The 18,384-nt window shown below is 56.0% G+C and overlaps 1 protein-coding gene across 6 annotated transcripts in view, besides 5 other annotated features; it reads left to right on the top strand.

Moving 5' to 3' along the window:
- Positions 1-13,610, top strand: part of RUNX3 (RUNX family transcription factor 3) — a 65,628-nt gene extending 52,018 nt beyond the window's left edge. For 5 of the 6 annotated variants that reach the window (XM_005246024.5, XM_047433131.1, NM_001320672.1 and 2 more), the window contains 2 exons: positions 5,704-5,862; positions 10,455-13,610. In XM_005246024.5, the coding sequence (XP_005246081.1) occupies positions 5,704-5,862; positions 10,455-10,999 (704 nt within the window). In that variant the 3' untranslated portion in view covers positions 11,000-13,610. The remainder of the gene's footprint in view (positions 1-5,703; positions 5,863-10,454) is intronic. The other variant, XM_011542351.2, reaches the window with a different exon arrangement.
- Positions 10,724-10,793: an enhancer, noted in NCBI's record as "active region_411". NCBI's record gives its function as "activates an Ori minimal core promoter by ATAC-STARR-seq in GM12878 lymphoblastoid cells {active_cell/tissue: GM12878}" and the evidence as "EXISTENCE:reporter gene assay evidence [ECO:0000049][PMID:35858748]".
- Positions 10,874-10,943: an enhancer, noted in NCBI's record as "active region_410". NCBI's record gives its function as "activates an Ori minimal core promoter by ATAC-STARR-seq in GM12878 lymphoblastoid cells {active_cell/tissue: GM12878}" and the evidence as "EXISTENCE:reporter gene assay evidence [ECO:0000049][PMID:35858748]".
- Positions 11,274-11,723: an enhancer, noted in NCBI's record as "active region_409". NCBI's record gives its function as "activates an Ori minimal core promoter by ATAC-STARR-seq in GM12878 lymphoblastoid cells {active_cell/tissue: GM12878}" and the evidence as "EXISTENCE:reporter gene assay evidence [ECO:0000049][PMID:35858748]".
- Positions 12,491-12,540: an enhancer, noted in NCBI's record as "active region_408". NCBI's record gives its function as "activates an Ori minimal core promoter by ATAC-STARR-seq in GM12878 lymphoblastoid cells {active_cell/tissue: GM12878}" and the evidence as "EXISTENCE:reporter gene assay evidence [ECO:0000049][PMID:35858748]".
- Positions 14,631-14,700: an enhancer, noted in NCBI's record as "active region_407". NCBI's record gives its function as "activates an Ori minimal core promoter by ATAC-STARR-seq in GM12878 lymphoblastoid cells {active_cell/tissue: GM12878}" and the evidence as "EXISTENCE:reporter gene assay evidence [ECO:0000049][PMID:35858748]".

Here is an 18,384-nt window from a genome sequence, read left to right as displayed (position 1 = left end):
CCTCAGGGGTTAGACAGTATGATAACCACTTTACAGATGTGGAAACTGTGGCCCAGAGGCAGAGAGTGACTTGGTGGTCTAGAGCAGGGTATGATTGGAAATTGCACTCTCAACCCTGAGCTTCAGAGCAGGGAAGGGCCCCTGGTGGAGTCCACTGAGACCTTCTCATCTTCCTCTCCCAAGTCCTATCCTCCTGGGCCTGCAGATAGCAGCTCTGGGCCTGGGGCTGGACGGGGCCCTAACATCTATTGTGGAGTCCCGATACATCTATTGATGTATCGAACCCAGGCTGGCTGTGAACCCCGCCCTCTTCCGCCACAATAGATGTGTTTTCACAGGCTCTAGGGAGAGCAGGTGGCTGTGTGTCTTCTGCTTGACCTTGAGCTCACTGGCTGTCCAGAGCCTCAGTTTTTTCACCCATATGATAGGATGGTGGCAGACATTACTCAAGGGGATGCTGCCAGGCGAAACAAGATGGTGCTTGTCAGCTGCTTAGACGCTGCCGTGGAGGAAGCACCCAGCAAGCATCTGCTGCCGTTTTGATGATTTCCACTCCTGCTGGCGACTGCTTTAAAGGACAGCCCTAGCCTGCAGAGGTGTGATGGGGATCTACTGTGGGAGAAGGGGGGCTTCCTGGAGGAGGGGCTCCTGGACTGGGCTTCACAGGACAGAAAGCATTGCTGGCAGAGGCTGTCCTGAGCTGAGGCTCTGAAGAGTGGGGGGCAGAGAATATTCAAGAAATACTGGGAACAGCAGCAGCAGGAAGAAGTGGTAGTGGGTGGGCCCTGGGGCCAGCAGCCCTGCCTTCTTTTCTTTCTGGGGCCCCTCTGACCAGCGGCTGATCTTTGCTACCTTAAATCAGGGACTTTCAAAAGGAAGGGGCCTCAGTGAGCAGACTGTGCAGAGGGGAAACTGAGGCGTAGCAGGACTGGGCCCAAGGTGACGGAGTGGGTTAGAGCCAGAGCTCCCCACGCAGCTCTTGCTCTGGGTAACCGAATGAAAGAGGCTTTTTCTGAAGACCATCTTCTTTCCTCAGGCACTGGAACTTCTGTCCTATTCCCAGTGTGAGAGCCCTGGCCCTGTGGCTCTGAGACTCTCTGGCGCCCTGGCCACGTGGGGCCGCCTTGGCTCCCCTCTCCCCTCCCTGGCAGTGGCTCCAGCGTTCCACAGTAACAAGGAAGCTATTTCCGAAGTGCTGTTGGACTCCCCTCCTCCGGGAAGTCTGCCCTACGGAGGGCAAGGGAGCATGTGGTGGGAGCGTGGGTTCCGGGGTCAGATTACCTGACCCACAGCCTGGGTCCCGGAACAGGCGCTCAGCGTCGGTCTCATGGTGAAGCCTCGGTGGCCCCGTCTAAACAATGGGAACAAAAGGGAAAGTGTCAGGAAAAGAGCCCTGGGCTTGGAGTCGGGGGATCCGGGTGTGAATCCTGCCTTGCTGCTCAGGCTCTGTGTTCCTCACACGACTTCAGCATCCTGGCCTCCACACCCCGGTCTCCAGCATGGGGATGATAGTTCTGCTTCCTTTGGGCATGAGCAGAGATAAAAGCGATGGTCATGATGGTGGTGACCCACGTGACTGGAAAGTGTCCACACCTTAGGCCAGCACCTCAACCCACAAAGACAGTGTGATGGGGACACCGCAGCTCGGGGTGGGGGAAAGGAGTGTGACTTGAGTGAGGCCACCAGACTGCAAGTGACAGGACCCGTCCTCGAACCCAGGCTGGCTGTCAACCCCGCCCTCTTCCGCCAGGCCGCAGGAGTAACTGTAAACACTCTTTGTACATGGTGTGACTCAGAAACAGGGGACTTTATTCTCCTGTGACGAAAGTAACAAGGCCTGAGGTTTTGCACCAGCCCTATTGGCTCCCTTCAAGCTTGTGGCTGACTAAAACACCCAGATCCTTTGCACTCAGGCTGTTGTCGGATCAGTCTGTGGTCCCCACGTCCACCCGGCAGGCTTCATGCCTGTTAAGATTCTTCTGCTCACTTGTCCCCCAGCTCATCCACATCTCCCTGCCATTTCCAGTGGCCTCAGGAGCAAGGACAACATTTCCTCCAAGGCCTGTTAGGGCTGAGGACTCGGTCTGGAATTGGAAGCTCTGGCCGTACTGGGCCTGCCCTCCTCAGGGTAGCAGTCAGGTGCTTTCCACAAGGCATCTCCTCCCCATCCGCTCCAGGCCCCACCCATCCCACTTGCCTCGTTCACGTGACTTGCCCCATCCCCATGGGCATCTGAGTTTGCAGCCCCAGCTCCAGCTAAACTCGCCCCCAGCCCATGTTTTCCCCTTTGTTGCCAAGGGCCCTGGGAGGCAGCAGTGGGGGCCTGGCCAGAGACCAAATGGTCTTATTCCTGCCACCAAGTGTCCCATGGATTCCTGGTCTGGGGCCTCATTGGAGGAGAAGGTGGGGCTCCCTGGTTCTTGGTGACTGGCTGAGCCCCTGTGGCTCCCAGGCCCCCTGCTTTCTTTCTGAGGCTCCCAGATACCTGTTTGAGCTTCCAACAGGGATGCGTAGGGAGCTTGGGGGCCTACAAGTACCAGAATCCATTGCGTTCCCATTCTGAAAATCAGAAATCAGGCCCATGCGAGGCCTCGGGCTCTGTCCCCTCATGCCCTACAGTGGTCGACAGGCTTTTCCCACTTTTCGAGTCCCCAGCAATCACTTGTTCAGGCCCCAAGAAGCGCAGTGAGTTCTGTTTTACCTCCCACCTACATCTTGCCTCTTCTCCCTCTGCCAAACTAGAAAACGCACATGTCATTCTAGACCCAAGGCCTTAGGCAAACCTTCTCCTCCCCCTTACCCCCTCCCACATTTTTTTTTTTTTTTTTTTTTGAGATGGAATCTTGCTCTGTCACCTAGGCTGGAGTGCAGTGGTGTGATCTTGGCTCACTGCAACCTCCGCCTCCCGGGTTCAAGCGATTCTCCTGCCTCAGCCTCCCAAGTAGTTGGGATCATAGGCGCCCGCCACCACGCCCGGCTAATTTTTGTACTTTTAGTAGAGACGGGGTTTCACCATATTGGTCAGGCTGGTTTCAAACTCCTGACCTCACTCAGGTGATCCGCCCGCCTCGGCTTCCCAAAGCGCTGGGATTACAGGCGTAGCCACCATGCCTAGCCTCCATCTTTTCTAAAGGGTCCCAGGTCCAGGAAATCCCACCCCTTGTTCGGCGTGTGGCCTCCAACAAGCTTCCTCGCCTCTCCGCAGTTGCAGTTCTCTTACTTGTAAAAGAGGGCCTGGCCACCCTGCCTGACTGGCAGCCTCCCACCAAGTCACGTGAGGTAGAATGGCCGTGACCGTGTTAGGGTTGATCAGCCGAACCCTGGAGTGCACAGTCCTCCAAGGGAGCCGTCCTTTCCTCGGGTCAGCCCTGGAGAAGCTGCAGCCACTAGGGGGTGCGAACAGGGACGTTCCCGGGAGTGTTGCATGTAAGGGAACTAAAGGGGAAGCTTGAGAAGGACTGAAATGTGGGTGGAGAGGACTGCGGAGTGAACTGTGCCTCCAGTGGCCAGCAGGAAAGAGGGAGAGCAGCGTCATTCTCGCCATGCTTGTTGAATCCCTTCCGTAGCAGGGAGGATCCCCAGGGTTTTATGGGAACTCCGTCATTTCTGTGGGGCTGGATTACTGTCCCCATTTTGCAGATAGGGAAACTGAGTTTGAGCTCCAAGGTGTGCTACTAAGAAAGCAAGTTACAGAATGACACACCCGGACTGAGGCTGTTCAAGAGAGTTCCATGAGAAGCCTACTTTGCGTTTTCCATTCATGGAAGATGAAAAATGTCTGGAAAGAAACTGGTCACGGTGGGGACTCTGGAGAGGAGCTTAGAGCGGTGGACAGAGCCTTATCTGTAATGCTTTTATTTTTGTAAATATTCACGTGTTGCTTGTGAAATGTAAAATTAGTAATTAAAAAAGTGTGTGTGGCGGGGGAGGTCCCTGCAAGCTTGATATCACTCCAGAAGTGTCCCTCGGCCTCAGCAGGCCGCAGGAGGGTGGGAGCCTGGCCACCTTGACCCTCCCAGCACCTCTGAGTCCTCGGATGTGAGGCTGGGATTCTTCCTGTGTGGGCTCTGGCAGATAGGGAGTGGAAAATGCTGGCAGTTTTCTCCAGGTGTGACATCTCGTCCCCTGACCCCAGCTTCCAGGCAGAGATGGCTGTCTAGTCCCTCATGCAAGCCCCCTACACCTCTGCCCAGCATCCTGGTGGAGTTATTTTTCTGCCTGAGGCCCAGAGAGAAGAAGGCATGTTCTGGGGATCCCAGAGTGACTTAGGGCTGGAAAAGCCTGCAGTCCCCTCCTGGGGCCACCTCCCATTGTTCTTGTAGACATGGGAGACAGTGTGCAAGGCAGGCTGGGATGCTGGGAGGCAGAGGGTGGCAGTGCTCCTGGGTTATCTCCCTGCCTCCCTTGGGGGCATGAGCCACTTTCTCATGTCTGTTGCCTCAGTTTCCTTTTTTTAGATCTAGGGTCCTTGTTCCGTTGCCCAGACTGGGATGCAGTGGTACAATCAGCTCACTGCAGCCTCCACCTCCTGGGCTCAAGTGATCCTCCTGCCTCAGTCATCCCAGTAGCTGGGACTACAGGCTTGTGCCACCCCACCTGGCTAAGTTTTTCTTTTTTCTTTTTTTTTTTTAATTTTTGTACAGACAGGGGTCTCGATAGTTGCCCAGGCTGATCTCAAACTCCTGGGTTCAACTGATCCTCCCATCTCAGTCTCCCAAAGTGCTGAGATTATAGGCGTAAGCCACTGCACCTGGCCCTCAGTTTCCTCTTCTGCCAAACAGTGTGTTGTAGAGGTTTGGATCACCGTGTGTCGTAGAGGTTTGGATCACCACATGTCGTAGAGGTTTGGATCACCGCGTGTCGTAGAGGTTCAGATCACCGCGTGTCATAGAGGTTCAGATCACCGCGTGTCGTAGAGGTTCGGATCACCGCGTGTCGTAGAGCTTCGGATCACCGCGTGTCGTAGAGGTTCGGATCACCGCGTGTCATAGAGGTTTGGATCACCGCGTGTCGTAGAGGTTCGGATCACCGCGTGTCGTAGAGGTTCGGATCACCGTGTGTCGTAGAGGTTCGGATCACCGCGTGTGGTTGAGGTTCGGATCACCGCGTGTTGTAGAGGTTTAGATCACCGCGTGTTGTAGAGGTTTAGATCACCGCGTGTGGTTGAGGTTTAGATCACCGCGTGTTGTAGAGGTTTACATCACAGTGTGTTGTAGAGGTTTAGATCACCGCGTGTTGTAGAGGTTTACATCACAGTGTGTTGTAGAGGTTTAGATCACCGTGTGTTGTAGAGGTTTAGATCACCGTGTGTTGTAGAGGTTTGGATCACCGTGTGTTGTAGAGGTTTAGATCACCGCGTGTTGTAGAGGTTTACATCACAGTGTGTTGTAGAGGTTTAGATCACCGCGTGTTGTAGAGGTTTAGATCACCGCGTGTTGTAGAGGTTTAGATCACCGCGTGTTGTAGAGGTTTGGATCACCGTGTGTTGTAGAGGTTTAGATATGTGGGGTGGCACATAACGACCATTCTCTGTTCAGAAAGTCTTTTGAAAACCTCTGTGAAGAGGCTGGCGGTGACCTCAGGGTTCTCCCAGCAGAGGCCTAAGGTCAGACCTCAGGAAGAACTTCCCAGCAGAGTGAGGCATTTCTGTCTCCACTGAGACTCTGGGGAAGCAACGGCTGATGGGCTTCCTGTGCTCTGCAGGGCACCGGCAGAAGCTGGAGGACCAGACCAAGCCGTTCCCTGACCGCTTTGGGGACCTGGAACGGCTGCGCATGCGGGTGACACCGAGCACACCCAGCCCCCGAGGCTCACTCAGCACCACAAGCCACTTCAGCAGCCAGCCCCAGACCCCAATCCAAGGTACGGCACGGAGGGAGGGGCTGCAGCGGGGTGAGGTGGGGGTGGAGGGCCTCGATGTGGTCCAATCTGCCCCAGACCAAAAGCCTGTCCGAAGATCAGTCACTGCACCCCCTTGTTTTGTAGAGGAGCTGCTGGTGCTCATTGGCACCTGCAGACGGTTCCTGTGGGCTTTCTGTGTGCTAGCCATCATTCGTTCACTCAGCAAACACTGACATTACTGACACATGCCTGGTGCCTGGCCCCAGGGATCTGCATACCAGGAGTTCACTGTGCCTGGGGAAATGGGGTTAACCCCATAGTGCCCCTATTAAAATTGGGGCATGACTTGTCCAAGGAGCCGTGACAGACTCGCCCCTGCCATGTACAGTTTCCCCACCCCTGCCCCACAGCCTGCGATTTTTCATCTGAAAGTGGATTGGGGCGGATGCCTCCACCCAGGGCTGGGATGACATTCAAATGACATTACTGTACTCACACAAACTTTGCACACTGTTAAGTGACATTCCAACCCTAGAGAGGCACATAGCATTCCTGGGAAAGGTCTCCCACCCTGCCCAGAGCATCCTCCCAAACAGGAGGAGCTGAGGTGGAAGGGAAGACCGAGCTGGGGTCTCCATCTCCACTGCCTAGACGGATACAGCAAGCACAGTTGCAGCCAGGCCTCAGGCAGGTCTTCTGGAGTATCGAGGTGCCTGGCGCATAGTAGCCGCTCACTAAACGGCTGCCGGCTGCATCTCTCCTCTGTTCTCTCAGTCAGTGAGCTGGGGACATGGGAGGCTGTGTGCACAGCCGGCCCTTGGGCTAAGTGGGGTGCCAAGGGTGCTTGGTGGCCGGGTGGACAGAGGCAGGCAGCTGGCTGCCGTCACGGACTGTGCCCATTCTTTCTCAATTCCCCAGAGCCTGGTTAGAACCCCTTGGCAGATGAATGAATTGAGAGGCCTAAGAGGTTCAGAGCCACCCTCGGGTCACACAGCCCATCTGTGACCAGGTCCACAGTCTCCACAGTACCTGCTCCCAAGAACTTTCTGTACTTCTGAGGGGACAGATAAAGGGGCCTGGAACAGGGCTGCCAACCGGTCTGCCTGCCCCACCCCCTTTTCCGGTGCCACGCTGAGGTGGGGGCCGACTGGGTCTCTCTACTGACATTGTTCCAGGCATAGTGCTGCAGCCAGGGGCTGGATGCAGGCCTTCAGTGTGAAGAGAGGACCCCTCCCCTTCTGGCCTGGGCTCAGGACTTTTGGCCTTGGTCCTGCTGAGACGCCAAGGTTGGGAGAAGCCCCAGGCCCAGCCTCTCTGAGCCCAGGAGCTAGTGCATTTGAGACTCTCAGCTCTCGAGCCCAGGAGTTGGAGGTCTGCTCTCAAGAGGTAGCGGAAGGAGCCCTGCACGCTGTGCTCACGCCCACCCCTGCCGCGTAGCTGCCTCTGCTTCTGCTACCCATGGGCCAGCATCTGTCGAGGTGCAGTAGCCTGAGAGCCAGCCTTTCTCTGCCATGGACAGAGCCAGGCCAGGGGATCGGGGCTCAGCGGGGGAGCCAGAATCCAGGAGGTGGGGTGAACAGTGGCTTCCTGTCCACCAGCCCCCATGGAAGGAGAGCCCACATCTGCCCATCCACTGCTGGGTGGGCACAGCTTGGGAATCAATGCCTGGCCCCACGGCAGGCACAGCTGCTGCTTCCATCCTGGGCTGGGAGGAAAGGAGCCCAGCCTGTGTGGGGCAGTGGCTGACTTCTGCTTCTCTGCCTGCTCCCTCCTGAGGCCTGGCCCAGTCCCTCGCTAGCCCCCCACAGCACTGGGCCACAGGCAGCCAGGCATCTCCATCCTCAGGCCCATCCCCTTTGGGTGAGAGAAAGGGCCTCGGATGACCAGGACAGGGCGAGCATGAACTCTGCAGTCAGCTGGACCAGGCTAGGAATTCAGGCTCTGCCAGGCATTGGCTGTATGATCTTAGACAAGTCACTTAAACTCAGCCTCAGTTTTCTCATCTGTGAAGTGGGGAGAAGGAGGTCCCTGACAAAGAGGGGTTGCTGGCAGACCTAGGCTTGGGAAGTCACTCTCACAGGCCCTCCTCCCTCTGCCCTCGGACTCCCTCCTGGGGATCCCCCTTGGGACACCCCACCACCACTTCCCTCGGTGCCTGTTAAGTGCTTTGACCCTCCAATATTGGTCACTGGCAAGCAGTGCAGAGACCCCAGCACCTCCCATACCCCAGCCCCAGCCCCCAGCCGCAGCCGCCCACAATGGGGGCTTCTCACAGCTGAAAGGGCTCATTCAGCCACCATGCAGCAGCCCGGACAATCTGGAGAAGAAAATAAACATTTCTTTCCACTGTTGGGATTGGCCACTCGACAGTGCCCCGGGCAGCTCGGGTTTCCTGGGGCTGCGAGGCCGCAGGGTGGGGGTACAGGAGCTCCAAGGAAGCTGCTGGGGGGTCTGAGGGAGTGCTGAGGGCAGGTACTTCCCCCACCACCCCGGAGGAGGGGTGGTGGCCCTGAGGAAAGAGGCTGGAGGGGATGGTGGCAGGTCCAGGGAGGCCCAGCCCAGCGCCCTGCAGCCCGCGTGAGCTCTGAGGGGCACAGTCCTGCCGTTGTATCCTGCGGTCCCCATTTGTTTCCTTCGTCTTGAGAATGGGGTTCCCATCAGGCGGCCAGCACCCACTTCCACCCCACCCATCTCAGCTGTGCTGACGTGCCCAGCACCTGCAACAGGACCTCTCCCCCCGAGGGGCTCCCCAGATGAAAACTGGCAGCCAGGTGCCTCGGAGGCTCTCGGCCTCAAGGGGCCGGGACAGCCAAGTGACCTACTAGGGAACATCCCAGATGTCCCAGAAGGCCCCCGCCACCCAGACTGCTGTCCCCACATCTTCTTACCTTAAGCCAGGAGCATCACTCCGTTCGGATCCACGCCCAGGGCCAGAGTACGCTGCTGAGGGAAACATACCCCAGCTGACTTGGGAAGACCCCAAAGCCCCGAGAAGTTCCAAGTCCCAGCCGAAGTCACACACACCTCAGGCTCATAGCTCTCCGTCCTCAGCCAAGCCTCGGCGTGGCAGGCAGAGCCCACTCCGGCTAGCACCGGCCCTTATCCTTTGGTGGGTGACACAGAGGGGTTGCTGGGCTGGACAGACTGCACCTCTGGACCACTGCTGGGGGCTCATCCACCTCCCCCGGCTGCCAGAGTAGAAGGGAGGCCCTGCACCAGGGCCTCAACTTGGCAGGGCCCTGAATGAGCCAGTTCTCCTGGGTACCCAGAGTAAGAGACACCACAGCCACAGTGGCCTTGCAAAGCCTCATGGACCCCTGCTCTGTGCCCAGTGCCATTCTAAGTACTCGATGTGAATTAACTGAATCCTGATGAACTGTTATCGTCTCATGTTTTATATGGGGAAACTGATGCGCAGAGAGGTTAAGTGACTTGCCCAAGGACACAAAGCTAGTAAGTGTCCAAACCAGGATAACTGTCCGGCTCCAGAAGCCACACAGTAAGCCTTGATCCTGTGCTGCCTCAAAGACGGGACAGCTCCCTCTCAAGTACGTGTTGGGGCTCAGGACCAGAGGCCCTAGGATTGTGTGCCAGGTCCAATGTGCTGTGTGACCCTGAGGGAAGTGCCTCACCCTGTCTGGGCCTCAGTTTCCCCATCAAGGGTGTTAGACTCAATCCCTGAGCCCCTTTGAATGCTGAGGTTTTGGGGGTCTGTGATGACAAAAGTTGGGGACAGAGGATGGAACACCCTTGCCTTGGAGCCCATTGAGAAGCCACATTCCTGGGGGAGCAGGGGCAGAGTCTGGGCTGGACACTGTGACCAGGTTGGGGTCTGGGTCCCCAAGTTTGTCTGACTGCTGTCTCACTTTGCTGCCAAGGCAGGTTAGGGTGGCATCCAGTCACTGTGTGGCCACGAGTCGGCTCCAGAGACACAGGCCCAGGGTGAGGTGGAGGCCAGAGCTCCTGTGAACTCAGTGCCCACAACCCAGGTGTGAGCGCACAGAACCTCCGCGTGCTGCACCTGGGCAGGAGAGGCACGTGTGTCCCCAGCAGAGGCCTTGTGATGAGAACCAGTCCTTTCTCTGCCACAGAGACTCAGTCTTGCTCTCTCTCTGCCTCCATTTTCTTGTCTTCAAAAGCGGGTTCCAACTCCCAGTCTCACACGGTCATTGGAGCCCTTTACACATCCACGGCCTTCCCAGCTGTTAACATGGGCCGGTGGGGAGAGGAACCTGCCTGGGCAGGGCTGCTGGGAGGCCTGAGCTGACTCTGCCCTCAGCCCCACCACCGCATCCTAGGCCTCTCCTCTGCGAGGCTGGGAAGGAGGATTTAAAAAGAAGAATAGACCCCCTCCTCTGTTCTGTTGCTGCTGTGGGGGGGCTCCCATGGCCCCTCTTGGCCCGGGGCACGCTCCAACCAGCTTCCCGGCAGGTCTGTGTTCGGAGTCCTGGCGGGGGAGGCCCCGGGCAGCCTAGGGCAGGAAGAGGAGAGCCAGGTCTAGAACTAGGGGTCCCCCAGATGGGCCTTGGGAACCAGAGCCCAAGGTCATTCTTCAGGAAGCCCTCCTGGGGTTGTCTCGAGCTGGAACTGACCTCTTCCCTGCTGTCCTCCAGGCACCTCGGAACTGAACCCATTCTCCGACCCCCGCCAGTTTGACCGCTCCTTCCCCACGCTGCCAACCCTCACGGAGAGCCGCTTCCCAGACCCCAGGATGCATTATCCCGGGGCCATGTCAGCTGCCTTCCCCTACAGCGCCACGCCCTCGGGCACGAGCATCAGCAGCCTCAGCGTGGCGGGCATGCCGGCCACCAGCCGCTTCCACCATACCTACCTCCCGCCACCCTACCCGGGGGCCCCGCAGAACCAGAGCGGGCCCTTCCAGGCCAACCCGTCCCCCTACCACCTCTACTACGGGACATCCTCTGGCTCCTACCAGTTCTCCATGGTGGCCGGCAGCAGCAGTGGGGGCGACCGCTCACCTACCCGCATGCTGGCCTCTTGCACCAGCAGCGCTGCCTCTGTCGCCGCCGGCAACCTCATGAACCCCAGCCTGGGCGGCCAGAGTGATGGCGTGGAGGCCGACGGCAGCCACAGCAACTCACCCACGGCCCTGAGCACGCCAGGCCGCATGGATGAGGCCGTGTGGCGGCCCTACTGACCGCCCTGGTGGACTCCTCCCGCTGGAGGCGGGGACCCTAACAACCTTCAAGACCAGTGATGGGCCGGCTCCGAGGCTCCGGGCGGGAATGGGACCTGCGCTCCAGGGTGGTCTCGGTCCCAGGGTGGTCCCAGCTGGTGGGAGCCTCTGGCTGCATCTGTGCAGCCACATCCTTGTACAGAGGCATAGGTTACCACCCCCACCCCGGCCCGGGATACTGCCCCCGGCCCAGATCCTGGCCGTCTCATCCCATACTTCTGTGGGGAATCAGCCTCCTGCCACCCCCCCGGAAGGACCTCACTGTCTCCAGCTATGCCCAGTGCTGCATGGGACCCATGTCTCCTGGGACAGAGGCCATCTCTCTTCCAGAGAGAGGCAGCATTGGCCCACAGGATAAGCCTCAGGCCCTGGGAAACCTCCCGACCCCTGCACCTTCGTTGGAGCCCCTGCATCCCCTGGGTCCAGCCCCCTCTGCATTTACACAGATTTGAGTCAGAACTGGAAAGTGTCCCCCACCCCCACCACCCTCGAGCGGGGTTCCCCTCATTGTACAGATGGGGCAGGACCCAGCACGCTGCTGGCAGAGATGGTTTGAGAACACATCCAAGCCAGTCCCCCCAGCCCAGCTTCCCCTCCGTTCCTAACTGTTGGCTTTCCCCCAGCCGCACGGGTCCCAGGCCCCAGAGAAGATGAGTCTATGGCATCAGGTTCTTAAACCCAGGAAAGCACCTACAGACCGGCTCCTCCATGCACTTTACCAGCTCAACGCATCCACTCTCTGTTCTCTTGGCAGGGCGGGGGAGGGGGGATAGGAGGTCCCCTTTCCCCTAGGTGGTCTCATAATTCCATTTGTGGAGAGAACAGGAGGGCCAGATAGATAGGTCCTAGCAGAAGGCATTGAGGTGAGGGATCATTTTGGGTCAGACATCAATGTCCCTGTCCCCCCTGGGTCCAGCCAAGCTGTGCCCCATCCCCCAAGCCTCCTGGGAGGATCCAGCCAAATCTTGCGACTCCTGGCACACACCTGTCTGTAACCTGTTTTGTGCTCTGAAAGCAAATAGTCCTGAGCAAAAAAAAAAAAAAAACAAAAAAACAAAAAAAAAACAAAACAGTTTTTAAAACTGATTTTAGAAAAAGAAGCTTAATCTAACGTTTTCAAACACAAGGTCTCTTACAGGTATAGTTCCGTGATTATGATAGCTCTGTGATTATAAGCAACATCCCCGCCCCCTCTCCCCCCCGCGGACCCCCAGCTGCCTCCTGAGGGTGTGGGGTTATTAGGGTCTCAATACTTTCTCAAGGGGCTACACTCCCCATCAGGCAGCATCCCACCAGCCTGCACCACAGGCTCCCCTGGGAGGACGAGGGAAACGCTGATGAGACGCTGGGCATCTCTCCTCTGTGGCTCTAGGACATCTGTCCAGGAGGCTGGGCGGAGGTGGGCAGGATGTGAGAGGTGGGGAGTACTGGCTGTGCGTGGCAGGACAGAAGCACTGTAAAGGGCTCTCCAGCCGCAGCTCAGCTGCACTGCGTTCCGAGGTGAAGTCTTGCCCCTGAATTTTGCAAAATGGGAAAGTGGGCGCTTGCCCAAGGGCCAGGCTGCATGGATTCTCACATCAGAGTTCTCTGGCCCTAGAAAGGCTTAGAAAAGGCGTAAGGGAACTCATAAAGGCTAGCAGCATGCGGTATTTTAACTTTCTGCCTCGGCCTCTGTGGATGCAGAAATCTGCCCTACAAAATGCTCTTCATTGGTTGTCTCTGTGAGAGCACTGTCCCCACCCAACCTGTCACAACGGCCAGAACCATACACCAGAGACACACTGGCAGGTTAGGCAGTCCTTCTGGTGATCCTATTCCATTCCCTCCTGCTGCGGTTTCTCTTGGCCTGTCCTCACTGGAAAAACAGTCTCCATCTCCTCAAAATAGTTGCTGACTCCCTGCACCCAAGGGGCCTCTCCATGCCTTCTTAGGAAGCAGCTATGAATCCATTGTCCTTGTAGTTTCTTCCCTCCTGTTCTCTGGTTATAGCTGGTCCCAGGTCAGCGTGGGAGGCACCTTTGGGTTCCCAGTGCCCAGCACTTTGTAGTCTCATCCCAGATTACTAACCCTTCCTGATCCTGGAGAGGCAGGGATAGTAAATAAATTGCTCTTCCTACCCCATCCCCCATCCCCTGACAAAAAGTGACGGCAGCCGTACTGAGTCTGTAAGGCCCAAAGTGGGTACAGACAGCCTGGGCTGGTAAAAGTAGGTCCTTATTTACAAGGCTGCGTTAAAGTTGTACTAGGCAAACACACTGATGTAGGAAGCACGAGGAAAGGAAGACGTTTTGATATAGTGTTACTGTGAGCCTGTCAGTAGTGGGTACCAATCTTTTGTGACATATTGTCATGCTGAGGTGTGACACCTGCTGCACTCATCTGATGTAAAACCATCCCAGAGCTGGCGAGAGGATGGAGCTGGGTGGAAACTGCTTTGCACTATCGTTTGCTTGGTGTTTGTTTTTAACGCACAACTTGCTTGTACAGTAAACTGTCTTCTGTACTATTTAACTGTAAAATGGAATTTTGACTGATTTGTTACAATAATATAACTCTGAGATGTGTGGAAGGAGTCCAGTGCCCGGTTTCTAGGGCTATGCATGGAGGTGGGGTGGGGTGGGGGAGAGGATGGAGACCTCCTGCTGTTGCCCAGGAGGAACAGGAACAGAGACACCCAGCACCTTCATCTCCTTGCTTCCAACTTCTTCAGGAATGGCCGCAGAGACCACCCTGGCCACAGGACAGCCGGTGAGGCCTGCTCCTGTATGGCTGGGACCCCAGGAGAGCATCAAATAGGTCTTCAAAGTGCCACAACCCTTCCACCAATCATGAGCGGGCTGTGAGTCTTCCCAGCCGTGTTGGGAGGAATTCCTATGCCTGTTCCTCAGATTCACATTTCGGGAGGGGGCAGAGGCAGAGGGAGAGTCCAAGTGCCTTGGTGAGAACCCCCCTCTGAGGCTCGTGTTTCAAGATCTGTGGCAAGCTAGCAGCAGTGGGGATTGGGAGTAAGCGGCAACTTCAGTGCCCCCATTTTGCAGATGAGACAACTGCGGTGCAAAGAAGGAGTGTCATCAAGGTCCATGTCTCCCTGGGGTTGTCCATGGCTGAACTGGGACCACAGCCCAACAATGGTAGCATGGGTGTGATGGTGTGGGGACCTGGCTTGACAGCCCCCCTCCCACCTTGCCAGCAAGGAGGCCTGGTCCACTTGGGATTTGTACCAACACACAGCCCAGAGCCTGGCCAGTTGGGATTTGTGAAGGGAAATTTTTACAAAACAGACCTTATTTTTGAGTGATGCCCACCGACTTCAAAAACCACTCCCAAAGCTTTGCCCTGCTCAGTTTGGTTGGTCTGCCTGAAACTCAGCTCCCAACAAGAAGCTTCCATTTCCCTAGCCCGGCATCCCCTTTTACCCAAAAGACAGCAGGTCCATCTCTGGACAGGACCTCAGCCGTGGCTACAGAACTTCTCTGTTGGTCTGCTCTGGGCAGCCTCTGCCAGGGTTGGTCCTGAAACGGCATCTACATGGCCAAAACTGTTTCTATTTATTTGGGGTCACTTTGTAGGGGATGGTAGCACTCCTCACCAGGCACACTTTGGTGCCACAGCAGATCGGAGAGGAGCTGTGCCCTCCAGAGTTCCTGACTCAAATCTCCATCACCTGCACCCTAGCAGGCACGAACCAGCACACCCAGCTTGCCAAGGGGAAACTCAAGGTCCCGAGAAGTCTCAGCTTGCCTGAGGTCCCAGGGCTGCGGGAGGAAGTGCTGCAGTAGCCACAGCAGCCTGCAGGTGGCAATAGGGGGCGGCATCCCTGGGCAGCAGGTGGAGAGAGTGGACATCATCCCCTTTGGACAAGGGTGAGGAGAGGCTGCCTTGGTTACAGCAAGAATTCAGGTAAGGTATTAAGAAGAACTTCCCAACCTCAGGTGACTCATTCCCGAAAGGGCCAGCTAAAGGTCTTGATGTGGGGAAGGTTTTCCCTTCCCGAGCCGTGTGGCAGTGGGAGGTCCCTGTCCCTCTCTGAGTCTCCCTTTTTGGTCATACGCTGAATGAGCACCGGCCGTGTGCCAGGTGTGGAGTAGGACCCCACACCCCATAATCGTCTGCTTTGGGACAGGGTGTACCTGGCTTGAAGGCAGGGTTGACTTTCATAGTTTTACAACCCTGGCCTCCTGGACCCTGGGCCCAGCCCCACCCATGTCCCCTGAGCCACCAGCAAGAGCTTAGGTCATGTAGAAGCCAGTTCAGATTGAGGAAGCCATTTAGTTCCACAGCCTGGGAGCCCCTGGACTCCAGAATTCCGCTTTGGAGGCTCTAGGAGTCCTGTTGATCTGGGCTGGACTTTGAGTCCCTCCAGTTTCTTCAGCCCCCACAGCTTGAGGTTGGCCCAGATGGGCCCAATGATGGACCCAGAGAGCCGGCTGTGGCCTGGGGGCTCCCAGAAGTGGCCTCCTGTGGGGTGAAGTGGCCCAGATGGACCCGCCTTGCCGGCCCCTAGGAGCAGCCCTGCCACTGTTGGGCTGTGGCCATGGGGATGGCTTTGGCTTTTACACTGAGCAATGGATGTCCTGGCAGTGAGGCTACAGGCCAGAGATGACACATTCCCACGTTAGGGCCTGGTGAGGGCTTGAGGAGATGGCGCGGGGTGGGGCCAGTGCCGTGGGTAGGGGAGGGCAGGGCTGGATGCAGACCCAGCCCTGCCTCCCTCCTCAGCCCCGGCCTCTCCTCTGCTCCAGACTGCACCCCCGCATAAATGCAGCCCCCCAGCATGGCCCAGAGGGCAGCTCTCAGCTGCACCAAACAACCCAGCCTGGCCACGTGAGTAGAGAATACACCTCAGTGGGTCGGTTCATTTTGGGGTCGTAAATGAAATGAGCTGTCAAATGGGACGGGGGCAGGAGGGAGGCCAGAGTGAAAGAATGAACTGTTCCTGGCAGAAATCCAAAATGCCCCTCATTCCTCCCCATGAGGGCTCCAGAGCTGGGAGGGGTGAGGGGCCACATCGCCCCGACATCCGCAGCCACACCTGTGTGGTCCAGTGGCTGGGGAAGCCTGGGGAGCCGGATCCCGCGCTTCCTATTTTTAGTTTTGCAGCTAAGAGTGCGCTGTGTGTTTTATATATTTATATTCACCCACAGAAAGGGCCTGCCCTGGGCCTGGCCCAGGGGACCTATCATGGGAAGGGGAGTGCGGCAGCCCTGGAGCCGGCCTGGACTACCCTCCTTTGTGCCCACCCTGACGGCTGGCAGCAATGTGGGCTCTCTGGTGTCCAAACACACCATTTGGGCCACACCACCCCACTCAGCTCATTGGGCTGGGTGTCTTTGAGGCCTTGGCCAGAATTCATTCACTCATTCACCAGACACAGAGCCCCACCCCACCCTCAGGTGCCAGACACCAAGAACAAGGTGAACAAGTCACAGCCATGGCCTCAGGGATCTCACAGGGCAGACAGACAGGAAAGCAGGTTGTGCCAGCCCAGTGTGGATCAGGGCAAACAAGCCAAGCTCCTCAGAGAAAATGTCTCTCCCCCGAGATCAGATGGAAAGATGAGTAGGAATGGATCAAGCAGAGATGTGGCAGGAGGGAATCCCATGTGCAAAGGCCTGGAGAACCAGGTGTCGCTGAGCTGGGAGGATGGTGGGGCAAGTGGCGCAATGGTGATGGGAGGTGGGAGAGGATCCATGTCAGGGGTCAGTGGCACGGGGGAGCCAAGCGGAGATGTATGTGTTGGATGGGAGCACCATCATGGTGCGGACTGGGGATGAGGGTCCAGAGACCTGTTCACAGGCTACTAAAATAGTCCAGGCAAAGGAGAAGCCTGTGCAGAATGACAGAGGGAGGAGCTAAGAGGTATCTTAGACATCATTAGCACCAAAGTCACAGGAAGGGCACCATGCCCCAAACCTCAGGTTTGAATGTCTCTCAATCTCTCAGGGTTAGTGGCATTTCATGTGCCACTGGGGGCAAGGTCTTAACAATAGTCTTTATTATCACCCAGTTGGCAATTGCCCCCTCCCTCTCCACCACTTCACAAGTGAAGCCTTATGTCCTGCCTCAGTTTCCTTATAGAACCATGTGACCATACCAGAGGCCACATGCAGCCTCTCCTCTCAGACTTGTGGGTCCAGGACGCTCAGAGTCCGGCCAAGCTACCCCACTCTCCTTCATGGTCTGAAAATATAAAGATTATGAGACTCTCCATCTGCGGTTCCTGAGTTCTATATATTACATTTTAAGTAATATTTTTAGTTTTTATTTTTAGACAGGGTCTCACTCTGTCACCCAGACTGGAGTGCATTGCAGCCTCCAACTCCTGGGCTCAAGTGATCCTCCCTCCTGCCTTGGCCTCTCAAGGAGCTAGAACTACAGGTGTGCACCACCACACCTGGCTAATTTTTTTTTTAGAGGCAGGGCCTCGTTACGTTTCCCAGGCTGGCCTCAAACTCTTGGCCTCAAGCAAACCTTCCACCTTGGCCTCCCAAAGTGTCGGGATTACAGGATGAGCCACCATGCCCAGACTAAATGACATTTTTAAATGACACAAACTAATATATAATCATGAGAGGGAAAGTAGACAGTCCGGATTACCAACAAACACACGAGAAAAATGAGCCATAATCCCCCCCTCCAAAGATAACCACTGTTAATATTTTTAGGCTTTTCTCCCCCATTCAGATCTTTATTTCCTATAAATATATAAATACTTTTTAGAAATAAACATTTTTCTAGCCAGACACACACTGCGTATACAGGTTATCAATTAATATAGTTAAAAATAGAGATAAAATTAATCCAGAATGAAATCAATGCAAAGATGGGATTATGGCTGTTTTCTGTTTTCTTCTTTACAGTTTTCTAAAATTAGCACACTTGTTCAGGGTATAGCATATCAAATTCTAGACATAAATGTCCAAGCAGAGGAGTTCAAAATCATGCAAGGACTACCTCATCTGTCATTAGCTGAAACACCACCTCTTCCAGGTAGCCTTCCCTGATACCCTCATACTAGGTTTGATGCCTTCTCTTTATCTCTGGAATAATAAAAATAATAATAATAATAGTTAATACTTACTCTGTGCCAGGCACTATTCTAAATATTTCACCATTTTTTAACCCAGCCCATTGAGGTATGTATTATCATTCTCCCCATCTTACAGATGAAAAAAAACTGAGAAACAGGTTGGGTGCGGTAGCTCCTGCCTGTAATCCCAGCACTTTGGGAGGCTGAGGCAGGAGGATCACCTGAGGTCAGGAGTTCGAGACCAGCCTGGCCAACATAGTGAAACCCCATCTCTACTAAAAATACAAAAATTAGCCAGGCATGGTGGCACATGCCT

This window comes from Homo sapiens, chromosome 1 (assembly GCF_000001405.40).
Source record: "Homo sapiens chromosome 1, GRCh38.p14 Primary Assembly".
NCBI classification, from domain to species: Eukaryota; Metazoa; Chordata; class Mammalia; order Primates; family Hominidae; genus Homo; species Homo sapiens.
This window is presented reverse-complemented; position numbering and strand designations above follow the sequence as displayed.